General features: G+C 46.2%; 1 protein-coding gene across 3 annotated transcripts in view, besides 1 other annotated feature; it reads left to right on the forward strand.

Moving 5' to 3' along the window:
* ZDHHC14 (zDHHC palmitoyltransferase 14) overlaps positions 1-13,075 on the forward strand; it is a 296,968-nt gene that overhangs the window by 45,277 nt on the left and 238,616 nt on the right. The window lies entirely within an intron of this gene.
* Positions 11,907-12,107: a silencer, noted in NCBI's record as "peak6257 fragment used in MPRA reporter construct". NCBI's record gives its function as "represses an SCP1 promoter by STARR-seq MPRAs in K562 erythroleukemia cells {active_cell/tissue: K562}" and the evidence as "EXISTENCE:reporter gene assay evidence [ECO:0000049][PMID:32103011]".

The following is a 13,075-nucleotide window of genomic DNA, read 5'->3' on the forward strand; positions in this document are numbered from 1 at the left end:
GAGCAGTTTGGCCCCCACTTCATGGAGCTGACTCGTTGAGTTTGAGGGGCCTACGGGGCACTCAGGGGGAGAAGCGCACCAGCTCGCAGGATGTGTGGGTCTGGCACCCAGAAGAGAGGGTAGCCTGGTGCTTGACACTGGGGAAGCCCTGGCTGTGGGTTTGGATGAGGAGAATCCTGGGAGAAGGTGGAAGAGCCGATCAGAAGGGGATGCTGGAGGAAAACAGCGGTCAGGTGTGTGGGAGGGAACAGAAAGGATGGGGAGCTGGAAGCCGCACTAGGAGGGAGTCAGGCCACGGGAGAGGGGCCAGCGTGAGGTTCTACAGAGCTCAGGAGAGAAGCCGGGAAGCCGTCTCACCTTTGGCCATTGGGAGGCCGTTCACCTCCATAAGAGCGTTTTCCGTGGAAACGGAGACTTCATTGTAGTGGGTTGAAAAGTGACAGCTGGGGCTGAGGGACCAGGAAGTGGGCGCATCCATTGCAGACGGCCTTTCTATAAAAGGCAGCTGTAAGGGAAGGAGAACTTAAGATAGTGTCTGGAGGAGAAGGTAGGTGAGGAATCGGTCTAGAGGAAAAGGAGGAGAGGCACGGTGCGAGCTGGGGTGGCAGGGGAGCAAGGGCCCCAGGGAGAAGAGAGGGAAGGAAGAGGGCGTGCAGGGCGGAGGGACAAGGCTCAGGCGTAGACCTGGAGGGGCATCGGGCCTGGGAGCACAGGAGGAAGGAGGAAGGGCGGGTGGAGGGGCAGCTGTGGGAGGGCTCGCCTCATGCCCTTGGTTTATCTGTGTTCAGAAGCCAGTGTGATGGTTGATTTTAAACATAATACAGCAAGTGGGCAGAGATGTGAGGGTTGGGGTCTCAGCGTTTGGAAATGTCACTCAGTGAAATAGGAAGGGAAAGTGTCTACAGAGATGCGCAGGATGCAGGGCCCCGAGGACTGGAGGGCATTTATGTTTTGGGGAATCTGCTTCCCACTCTGCTTTCTCCAGCAGGGCCTACCAGCATGGGTTGGCGTGGGGGTGAGGATGGTTGGCTGGGTTCACTCAGGGTTGGAGTTTAACAGAGCAAATGCAGGACCAGGAGGCTGGAAAGTCAACAGCAATGGCAAAAGGGAAACTGATGTGATAAATCACGGGGTCCAGGCTGGCAGAGATATGAGAGGAGAACAGAGGGGCCCGCAGGCAGAGGAACGTGAGTATTGAGATGTCGGCATGGGAGGTGGCTTGGATTTTCTTTTCAGAAATGGCAGATGCGCTAGGGCTGTTCCTCCTGGAGTAGTGGGAGTCAGAAACACACTGTGAGATTGACCACCTTCCATCGGAGTGTGGAAACAGGTTTTCATCAAGATCCTTTCCATGACATTGTGGCCCCCAAGGACAATGGAATGGTGGGGCTCTAGTCTTCATCTTTTCTCAGTAACAGCATAAAGGATGAATCTAATAAATCACAATAAAACTTTTATTGTGATTAGAGGAATATTGGGCTCCTGGAGGGCTGTTCTGTCATTGATATGTGCTGTGTTCACTTATCCATGTGAAGGAGGAATAGGGATCGTGAATAGAGGAATATCGGGTTCCTGGAGGGCTGTTCTGCTGTCGATATGTGCTATCTTCAGCACCTTATTCAACCTCAATATTTTCTGCCAGCAAAACTGTTGAGAAGGGGAGGAGAGTGCCGCAAAGGCAGTGTGCTGACACGACCTAAGCCCTGGCACAGTCATTTTGGTGTTTGCATGGGTGGCAGCAACACAGTAGGAAGATAAAGGGCTGCACACACACCACAGAGACCCTGCCCACTCCCACCCTCCGGTGCCCCGACCTTGCCAGCTCCTCTGCCATAGAAATCCTCTCAGGAAAGTGGACTGGATTTGCCAAGCAGGGTAGTGTTTTTCTAAACCAGTGATCTGGGAACTGGTATTCGTCTAAAATTAGCCTGTGAAAAGATAAGCTTTAATATATGTCATTAGGTGGAATGACAAGTAATTGAGAGTAAAAATTCCCATTAAAAAAAAAATCTCCGGCAAACAAGGTCATCTTACATAAAAGGGTACTGTGACTTTTTCAGCTGCTTTTTATAGCGGTGCCCTCTGAAACTAGTGGCCTGTTACGCCTTGTGGAAGGGCACCCGAGAGAGGCGCATTCCTGCTTAGCGAGTCCCCCCGCCCGCCCCACCCCGCCCCTAGCCCCCGAGCACAGGTGGCTGGGGTCTCAGGCCAGATTGCTTATGTGCTCACTAGCAACCTTCCCAGTATAAAATGGAAGTCTGATCGAGTCAATTACAGTGCATTGTTAGTCGTTACCTGTTCTGGTTGTTGCTCCTTACATAAAGTTTAATCTCTTTGGTTTGTTCTGAGCAGTCAGAGGTCTCAGCTCCCAGCCAGTGCTTGGTGCTTTCTTCGTTACTGTGAGCCCTCTACTATGATTTCACTCGAGTGACATTTATAGCCATGTACCTGGTTGACAGGAACAGTGAGTCACGGTTTTCCACATTCAGCACCTTTGATTCCTTCCCTTCAAGGGATGATGAGCTTGTGAGTGTGTTTGCGATGAGTGATTTTATCATTGAAATGACTGGAACCTGCAAGTCTGAGTCAGCTCACCCTGCATGGATGGTGGGGGCGTGGGGGAAGGGAACGGCCTAGGATCCACTAATTCTTTGAAAACATTTCTGGGGGACAGGCTCCATGGATCTGTGCAGTGATCATCTCGGCATGGGCGTCGAGACTTTTAGGTCAGCATTTTTCCCACTGAGAGGTGTAATCCATTACTAGGTCATGAAATCAACTTACTAGGTTGCTGGTCAGAATGGAGAATAGAATAGAAACAGAGTAGAATGGAAAATAGAGTACGTCTCCTTTGATAAGCATTGGTATTGTTTTGTGAAACTTTTGTTTCAGTTTAGTAGACTGTGATATAAAAATGAATTTATTGCTGTGGTTAATGGTCCAAAAACTTTGCACATCACTGCCCTAGATGGATGGTAAGTCTTTAACTGATGAGTTCCTTGGGTGGGTATTGAGGATGATTGACTCATTTTTGTATGCCTTTGCCTCTAGCTGTATGTAGCATATATTAGAGGCTCACTAGCTGTTTGTAGAAGGAAGGTAGGAAGGAAGGAAGGGAGGGAGGGAGGGAGGGAGAGAAGGAGGGGAAGGAAGGAGGGGAAAGAAGGAAGGAGAGCAAGGAGGAAAGAAATAAAGAAGGAAGGAGGGAGATCCGATTTTACAGACTTGAAGGGCTGGATAAAGCAGGCCTGGAAATCATATTTCATCTCTCAATATCATTCCAGGATCTCAGCAGCCATCTGTCTTCTCCTCCCTTTTCAAAACCTCCTCCTAAGTGATCTGGAAAGGGAGTTGAGGAAGTCTCCCATATGATGGCAAGAGACAATGGAGGTAACCAGCTCCAAACCAGCAAGCCAGAGTTCAGGATGATAGAGAATCTTCAGGAGGGAAGGAGAATGGCTAAGAAAATTGCTGTCTCTGAGCAGTGCCAGGGTTAATGGAATCTCTACTCAAGAGATCTTGATTGGATAACACGATGTGTTTGCTATTGCTGCTGTAACAAATTTCCACAAATTTAATGGCTTAAAATAGCACACATTTATCACTTTGGGAGGCCGAGGCAGGCAGATCACGAGGTCAAGAGATTGAGACCATCCTGGCCAACATGGTGAAACCCCGTCTCTACTAAAAAATACACAAATTAGCTGGGCGTGGTGGTGTGCACCTGTAGTTCCAGCTACTCGGGAGGCTGAGGCAGGAGAATTGCTCAAACCTGGGAGGTGGAGGTTGCAGTGAGCCGACAGTGTGACACTGTACTCCATCCTGGTGACAAAGCAAGACTGTGTAAAAAAAAAAAAAAAAAAAAAGCATACATTTATTGTATTACAGTTTTGGAGGTAGGAAGTCCAAAATGAATCTCTTTTGACTAAAGCAAAGATACCAGAAGGGCTGCATTCTTCCTGGAGGCCCCAGAGAGAACCTGTTTTCTTGCCTTTTTCAGCCTCCAGAGGCTGCCCCCGCCTTTCCCTGGCTTGTGGCTGCCTTCCTCTGTTTTGAAAGCCAACAATGTCAGGGCGGGTCCTTCTCACACTGCCATCTCTCTGGTCCTCTCTTCCAACTTTTAAGGACCCATGTGATTATATTGAGCTCACCAGGATAATGGAGGGTAATCTCCCTATTATAATGTCAGCTGATGAGCAGTCTTGCTTCCGTCTGCAACGTGAATTCCCCTTTGCCATGTCACTTAACGTATTCACAGGTTCTGGCGATTAGCGTATGGACATCTCTGTGGGACCACTATTCTGCCTACTGCATATGTTTTGAAGATCTTCAATCACTGGTGGCCCTGCCAAGGCATTTGTATTTGTGTGGCATACAGTAGGGCTGGACATGTGTGCATGTGATAAATCCATTTCTACAGAGTTAGATAAGATAGTCATCTCTGGAGAAAGATGGGCCTGACACCTGTTTTGACTGGGTTACTTGTAAAGCCAGGTTATGATACATTCTGGGACTTCCTCAGAGCTGTTGTGTTGCTGATCTGCTTGATGGACTTGTCTGTAAATAGCAGCTGTCTTCATCTGGCTCACAGACTCCCATCTGCCAGAGTGTATACGGGACACAAGGTGAAAGGAACGTGAGTGTGGGTGGTTGTAAGCCAGCACTTACATCAGGCTCTGTGCAATTGTTTGAATTTAATCTTCAGAACACTCAGTTGATGTGGGTGCCATCACCGTCCCTATTTAGAGATGATCAAGGCTCAGGGAGGCTTGTAATTCATCCAAATAGATCACTCAGCTGGTCTAATTGTCAGGGCCAGATTCAAGCCCTAAAGTTCTTCCCTGTAGGAACCATACAGAGTGGGGAGTTCAGTGCCAGGCTCCTAGCCCTGGAAAAGAATCTTTCTTTGTTGGGCTAACTGTGTACTTGGGTCACCCACCTCCATGGCAGGGACCATAGTGCCCATGTCCCATATCCAATGCAAGGGAACGCACTGTGTTGGGAAAGAGTGAAGGAGCTGCTCTGTGGACAAGAATTCTGTTTTGGAGACTGAGGATGGAGGACCTTAGTGTATTTGATGGTGGTTATGGGGCAAGGGTCTAGGTCATTGCTAGTGTGGGTCATATTGAAATCTCTTCACTGCTGAGGCTATCCAGGACTACTCACCTCCTTAGGAAATTTGATCTGAACCAAACAAGCCACAATAAACCAAAGAAGTTACCTGGCATTTTTGCTTTGGCTTTTTATTTTTTAAATTTTAATATAATTTTTTTTTTTTTTTGAGACGGAGTCTCACTGTGTCACTCAGGCTAGAGTGCGGTGTCATGATCGTGGCTCACTGCAGCCTCAACCCTCTGTGCTCAGGCGATCCTCCCACCTCAGCCTGCAAATAGCTGGGACCACAAGTGTGCACCACCATACCTAGCTAATTTTTGTATTTTTTGTAGAGATAGGGTTTTGCCACGTTGCCCAGGCTGGTCTTGAACTTCTGGGCTCAAACGATCCACCTGCCTCAGCCTCCCAAAGTGCTGGGATTACAGACGTGACCCATCATGCCAGATCCCTTTGGCTCTTAAGGGAAATGTTGCTTTCATTTTTTACTCTTGGACCTTTAGAAATGCTCAGCCAGTAACAATCTACTGAAGGAAAAGGGCTCCCAAGGTGAAGAGTGCAGAGTTCACCTCCAGTTTCTTTATGTTTGTGGTGAAATTTGTGTGAGGTGCCGTTGGAGGCTTCATAGCTGTGCATATTTGAGTTTTTAAATAAATGGAAAACATTTCCAGCAAAAAGAGGAAAGAACCTTATCTTGCTCATCTTTCTATCTCCAGGGCTTGACAGAGTGGGTGCTCAACAACTGGGTTGAATGAATAATCAGATTATTCATTCCTTTGTTAATAAAATAGCAGTGCAGTCGGAGGCTGTGGGGGAGAGTGGGGCAGAGCCCTTACTTCAGGGAGCTTACTAGCAGGTGTGGTTGCCCGGGGCTGCTTTGGAGAGGTAAGTAGTTGTGCCAATGGTGTGAAGCTGTGGAAGAGGTCATAAGTCAACTGAGGCTTGCCTGCCATCACTGTCTTCCGGAGCAATTTATTTTCGTTGCCTGGTAGCCTTCCAATAGGAGGTGGTTTCTTGGATCATTTCCATTGTAATTTAATTTAAAATTTGACTTCCTGCGTGAGAGAATGAATGGTGTTGAGGCTGCTTAGAGGCAGACCTGTTTTGTACTAGAAATCTAATCAGAGCTGTTTCCCCAGGATTTTATGAATGGCAAAATGGCTTTCATGCCCCGTAAACCACTGACACGAGCCACCTGTTTCAACCTATAGTGACACTAAGGTAACACCAAAAAATGGGGCAGGAAAACAGCTTTTCATGCTTCTGGAAGTTGCCAGGTACTGTTGACATTTAAGCATGTGCAATTTTGGGGCCCATTTTTATGTTTTTGGATCCAGATGGTTGTTCCAAAAGGAGCACTGTCCCTGCTGATCAAGTGGGAAGCAAAGAAACAAGTTTCCTTCTGCGCTGAAATCCCCGGCGTGGGGCGGCTCTGCTGCCGTCGCCATGGGGCTACAGCATCTCACCGCCCAAGAGCGGTGTGCCTGTGTCTAATGAACGTGTTACATGGCCTGTGTGGTCACTTTTCTTTGAGAACCTTGTCATGTGCCCTAGCAGATGGCAGGTTTGCATTTGGGCATGAAACCGAGCACAGTGCTGGCACGATCACTCTATTTCTTGAGACTTACTTAGGTAATAAGAATTTATAATTGAATTAAGTTGGCTCTTATAATTAATTGCTTTGATTCTGATGATGTGGACACATGATTGCAAGCTAAATACCAAATATCATTATGTATCTTTTCTGATATCGAAAGAAGGGTAGTTTAAATAAAAAAAATTGTAGCCCCCTTGAATAATGCTTTCCGTTTGCCTAAAGGTGGAAACTCATAGGTATTCACTAAATAAAGAAAGAAAAAGATTACAAAAGTAGTGACCAAGATAAAACCAGAGGCTTAGGGCTCTGAGAGTTCAGCCTGGGCCGTGATGTTCAGGAGCAGCTGTCTACCTGCAGAGTCCTGGGCAAACCACTTACCCTCCACGGGACTGTTTTGTCCTGGTTACAACGGGAGGAGTTGACTGGGTGACCCCAGGGTCTCTTTAGCTCTAAAAATTCTCAGATTGTGTGACTGTGGTACTCTGAAGGGCAGGTTTTGGTAATAGCATCAGGACCGAGTGTGTGTGCTCACACATGCACACAGACACCCCCACTCATGATCCAAAGCACAGCTGGTGGCCTTTATCGGCCTTGACGAGTGTCCTTTTCAAATGGAGACTTTATCAAACAGTGACATGGCATGTGCTGTGAAAATGGTGACTGTTTTGATGTCTTCCAGTTGGCTGGCTCCCATCTTTCCAGAGGGAGCACTGGACTTCTGGGTAAAGGAAATAGCAGTGACCAGGAACAAGAGAGCCACCCTCCACACACATACTTTTTTCCTGGTAATTGTACCAGTATGTGACTTAGCTAAGTGTACACATCATAAATAGCTATCAGCCCATGTGATGCCAGAGGCAATGGCTCAGTACATGGTTTTTGACCCTCCTGAGATATATGCTAAAAGATTTTTAAAAATCCAGTTCCAAGATTACATAACCGCCAACAACAAAAAGAAAATAGAGAAGAAAAACGGTATTAGTATTAGACCTAACATATTAATTGCTGATGACTTTTTTTAGAGAGAAGCTAGCTTATAATTTTATATATATATATATATAATTCTTTTATATGTTGAGTTCAGGGTCACTGAACTATTCTGATGTTCTGAATAGACTAAGCCTGGGCCAGTGCAAATTTAAGGCTTGCCTGATTTCCCCTGTTAGGGTCCTGCCAGCCGGCCGAGAACACCCTTAGGAGCTGGGCCTGTTCACACCAGACAGGTGGATGTTTCCTCTGAGCCCGAACTGGACTGGAGTGGCCCTGCGTTCTCCTTTGTCCCATTCCCTAAGTCCCCCTGAGGACTTTATCTGATGAGGCCATTTCAGCTTGGTGATCACTTCCCACTAGTTCCTCTGTGCCCTTAAACATTTTATTTGGGTCATAAAAACACAATTCCATGAATCATTTAGGCCACAGTAAGAGCTGCAATAGGGCTTTCTTTTAATATCCTGTGAGTACTTTCAAAATGGATCTTTTGCCCCAGTTTTATTCGTTTATCAAATGTTTGTCAGTGTGGTTGGGCCACCTGAAGATGAGCACCCAGAGAGCTTGGCACGACGGGGAGGAGCCGGACTTTTAACAAGGCTGCGCCAGTGCCCTCCTGTCAGTTAGACTGTCTGTGGAGCTATTTGCTTAATGAAACTGGACCCGCTCCATGACGGAGAGAATCCTGGCGTGACATGTTTTGTAATAGTCCCGTCTGGGTTGGCTGTGGCCTTGAGAGAGGGGATCTGCTCAGGGCTTCCCTTCCTGGACTGCCAGCAAAGCTTTTAGAGAACACACTTTCTGGGTTTCTCCCAGGGAGACTTATTTGTTTTGACCTTTACACAAAGACATAATGCAGATTATTCAGACCATCGCTGAACACAGATCTCCATGGCTATGCTCATAGAAAATTGTTTTCACTCCGGAAGGAATCGCCATAGCAGTTCCTCGGGGGTTCTTTGCATATGTTTATCCCACTTAATACTCATACCAATCTTAAGAGCTTTACAGATGGGGAAACTGGGGCTCTGTGAAGTCACTGGGAAGAAGCAGGACTAGGATTTAACACTCTGTTTGCTGCCCTGGGGCAGGTTGCCGTCTAATCCAGGCAGATGAGGTAAGTATAGAAATCCGAGAAGAGGGCAAGAGCAAGGGTGCCCCGCAGAAGTGCTTGCACACATGGAGGGAGGGTAGGAGAAGGGAGGGAAGGAGGGACTGCAGAAAGTCTTTGTGATATCGATGACATTGGGATGAACCTTGAGGAAAGGCTAGGACATATGTATGCAGATGTGTGCCTCTTAATTAATGGCAGTTTGTGGCATTAGCCTATAAGCTCAGTAAGGTGGGCACCCTCCTTTCCTCCCTCATTTCTCTCTCTCTCTATCTTTTTTTTTTAAGATAGGGTCTGGCTCTTTTGCCCAGGCTGGAGTGCAGTGGTGCAATCATGGCTCACTGCAACCTCTGCCTCCTGGGCTCAAGTGATCCTCCTGCCTCAGTTTCCCAAGTAGCTGAGTCTACAAGTGTGTGCCCCCATGCCCGCCTAATTTTTGTATTTTTTGTAGAGACACTGTTTTGCCATGTTGGCCAGGCTGGTCTCGAACTCTTGGGCTCAAGCGATCCTCCCACCTTGGCCTCCCAAAGTGCTGGGATTACAGGTATGAGCCATCATGCCTGGCCTCCTCATCTCTTTCTTCACTGTATCCCAAGGGCCTGGCAGCGTGGCAGAAAGCCTGGCACATAGCAGGCAAGTGCTTGCTGTATGCTGTTTGGATAGAGGGCTGGGGTGGGTAGGGGCATGGAGGATATTTCAGGCAGAGAGAGCAGCATGGGTGTGAAGAATTAGGGCAGGTTGTAGTTTATTTTGACTGGTGACTTGGGCAAGGAGAGGGCACTGAGTAGCTGATGAGGGAAGGCAAGTAGGTGGAGGTCACACTGTGGGGGATTTTGGAGGCCAGGCTAGAGAGTCCATAGAGAGGCCAGTTCCCAGAGTCCTGCCAGGTGTCAGTTTCAGAACCTTGGATAACTTAATGTTTCCGATCCTCCTTTTTTTCCTTATTTGTAAAATGGAGATAATGAAGATGCAAATGGAGATAATGAAGGTGCAAATGGAGATACGAGGTTGTTTGGAAGATTAAATAACATAAGATCTGTCAAATGCTTGCCACTGAGTCCACACGCAGTGAAGCATGTGCTTGGTAACAGTTGGCTATTGTTGTTATCCTGAATTCACCAGACAATGGGAGAGCATGACTTTCCTGTAGGGAAGCGATACGATTGGGTCTGGGCTTTTAGGTCAGTGAATCTGGCAGCAGTAGGATGGATTGGAGCAGAGGCAATGACCCTGAAGGAGATGCAGTAGTGAGTTAATAAGCATGAGAGTCGCCCAGGTGAGAAGTCATGAGGACTTGAACTGCTGGGGGAGGGGGGGCGGGTAAAGGGGGGTTGCAGGAATAATGTGATGATGGGCACAGGCGTCAGAGCCCTCAGAGAGGTCTGCGGGACTTGGCAGTGAACTAACGGAGAGGGACGAAGGCTTGAATCTGAGCCCCTAGAGGCATAGTGGTGCTATTCATGGGAAGAGGGAAGCCAGGCACGTTTGCTTCAGGAAGATGATGAGTTCAGTTTGGGTCATGTTGGCTGCATAGTGCCTGTGGAATTTCCAGATGTGGAAGGAGGCCCAGATGCTGGAGGGAGGTCGAGGCAGGGCAGTCATCAGGGAGATCATCTACGCAGAGCTGTCTGCAGGGAGTACAGGGGTGGTCTGAGGTGCCTGGAGTGGAAGGTGGTGGGGATTGGGGTTGTGGAGGAGGCCTTCATCCACGGGGCAAGGGGCATCCTGAGACTTAGCAGCCACTGAAAAGGGGAGAGGGCTGTGACTGTGCATGTGACATGGTGACAACAGCTGGGCCTGCTTCCATAGCCCTACCCTGGGACTGCAGGTCTACACAGTGCAGCACAGGCCTTTCCCAGGATTGGCCGGCCACACATGGGCTGGAGCATGGGCTCTGCATCCGTGAGAGCACTGGGGGCCTTTGCTGGGCCTCCTGGTTCTCAGGTCCCATGAAGCTTTGTGCTGTACTGTGCCTTCATTTTCAGAGGGCACCTGCAGGGGCCATGCAGGAATGCCAAATAAGGTTAACGGATGCTTCCTTCCATAAGGAGGCCACTTTCCCTCCAGAGGACACCTAGATTCTCTTTATAGTAGTGTCGTGAAGATGAATGGCGGTGCTGAGCTGTGCTCCCGAGTGTCCCGGGCAGGCTGTCGCCCTGTTCTGTCTCCAGCCTTGAACAGGTTTGTCTCTGTAGTGATACTGGAGTTCTTAATCCTTTTAGAAGGAAGCAGTGAGTGCTCTTCCCAGAAGAATTCCTGCATATGCCTGTATACAATACTTGGATCAATTCACTGGGCTCACAGGTCCCTGGAAGACCCCAATTAAAGAATCCTTCTCTCACAGGCTCAGTCTCTGCATTTCTTACTCGTAAAACGACCTTTCCTGTCAGGGTAAAATAGATTCAAATAGGTATGACTAAAGGCTACTAACTCTTCTCTGCAACAGTGTTAGTTGATTGCTACGGGATAATAAATTCATATATTTAAAACCAAAAAATATAGCTCTATGTGTGCTGTGATTCATTCTTCCCCATATTAAATTAGGTGATTATATAGGTCAGATTTTTACAGAAGAAGGACAAGTACAAGTTGGTTAAATTTATGACCTTAGTATTTACATGGGATGGTAGAGTTAAAAAAAAAAATCCAGGTTTACTTTCTTTTTATTTTATAATTTACTTGGTTTTCTAAATAGGTATAAAGCTAATTAAAAGTTAGGTGTACTGAACTATCATGTTTTTTTTATTGAGGTAAAATATACATAACATAAAATTTACAATTTTAATCATTTTAACTGTACAGTTCAGTAGCATTTATTATATCATGTAGTTTTAATTAATCCTATTGTGAATAATTTCTAAATCTTCAAAAAAAATGAGAAAGTAGAAAAGAGTGTAATTTACCCAGAAAAAAATATACTTCTTGAACAGGTTGCTAAGGTGTCACAAATTTGGGCTTTCCTGGCAAGAAGAATGCAAGCATTTAAGGTAAGAATGCTTTATGGAAAGTTCTTGTAGATTCTAGAAATAGGATTGTTTTTCAAATGGAGTGATTAATTTTATTTTGCAGGGAGAGGAAGGAAATCTCTAAGGTAGCCATATTAAGATAATTTTAAAGATTGTAAGGTTAAAATCTGGACTTTGAGTTGCATTTGGAAGTACAGAAAATCAGCAAGACTCTTGAAGACAAATGCCACGTGCAGACATCTCTAGTTTTCATCAGCTGAAGTTCACAAATTACCTTCACAGTTATCTCAAAGTACAGCACAATGCTGAAACCCCCCTGTGAATTTGCAAATGTGAGGATCACCATAGTAACAACCATATTAAACTTTACATTTTAACATTGTTCGTACAAGACGCTTGTGTCTTTGTAAGACTTTCTCAGGGAATAAAAAGTTTTTCCTTCCACTGTACCACAAGATATTTCCTGCTTATCTCAGGCATTGTTTTTGAAATCCGAAAGTCTGGATGTCATATTAAAAGCAGCCAAAATATTCGTGTTGGTGTCAGGATGTTAGAGTACTATTTCCAATAGCAGTTGGAGCTAGAGCTGTGGAATTTATGGATGTGTTTGGCTGTGGAGGATTGCAGAGAAAGCTGTGGACAAATATATTTTATAAGTGATAAATTCAGAGTATTGTCTGGGCGGTAGAGAGTGCCAAGAACTGAATTCATCTAGAATTGAGCATTCGTGCTGAGTTAGCCACTCCACTGCTTAGAGAATCATATTGCCAACAAAGAGTTTTTCTGGCAGTTCATGTGAGGGTCATTGAGCAACTTTTAAAAAAGTACCCTGTCACTTGGGTTTGGTACAGTTCCCCATCCAGAGAAACTCTGTCATGTTCCCTGTCTAACATATCCATTTATATCTCTTATTTCCTGCTAAATATTTCCGTTCTTCATTTTCAAAACATCTTAGGGCCTTTAAGAAAATGGCAACTACAGTTGCAGAGTGCTAGAATGGGAGAAAGTTTTTGCAGTCTACCCAACTGACAAAGATCTAATATCCTGAATCTACAAGGAACGTAAACAAATTTACAAGAAAAAACAACCCTATTAGAAGGTGGGCAAAGGACATGAACAGACACTTCTCAAAGGAAGACATTTATGTGGCCAACAAACATATTAAAAAAAGCTCAACATCACTGATCATTAGAGAAATGCAAATCAAAGCCACAATGAGATACCATCTCACACCAGTCAGAATGACCATTATTAAAAAGTCAAGAAACAACAGATGCTGGCAAGGCTGTGGGGAAATAGGAA

Source organism: Homo sapiens, chromosome 6 (assembly GCF_000001405.40).
Source record: "Homo sapiens chromosome 6, GRCh38.p14 Primary Assembly".
Lineage (NCBI taxonomy): Eukaryota > Metazoa > Chordata > Mammalia > Primates > Hominidae > Homo > Homo sapiens.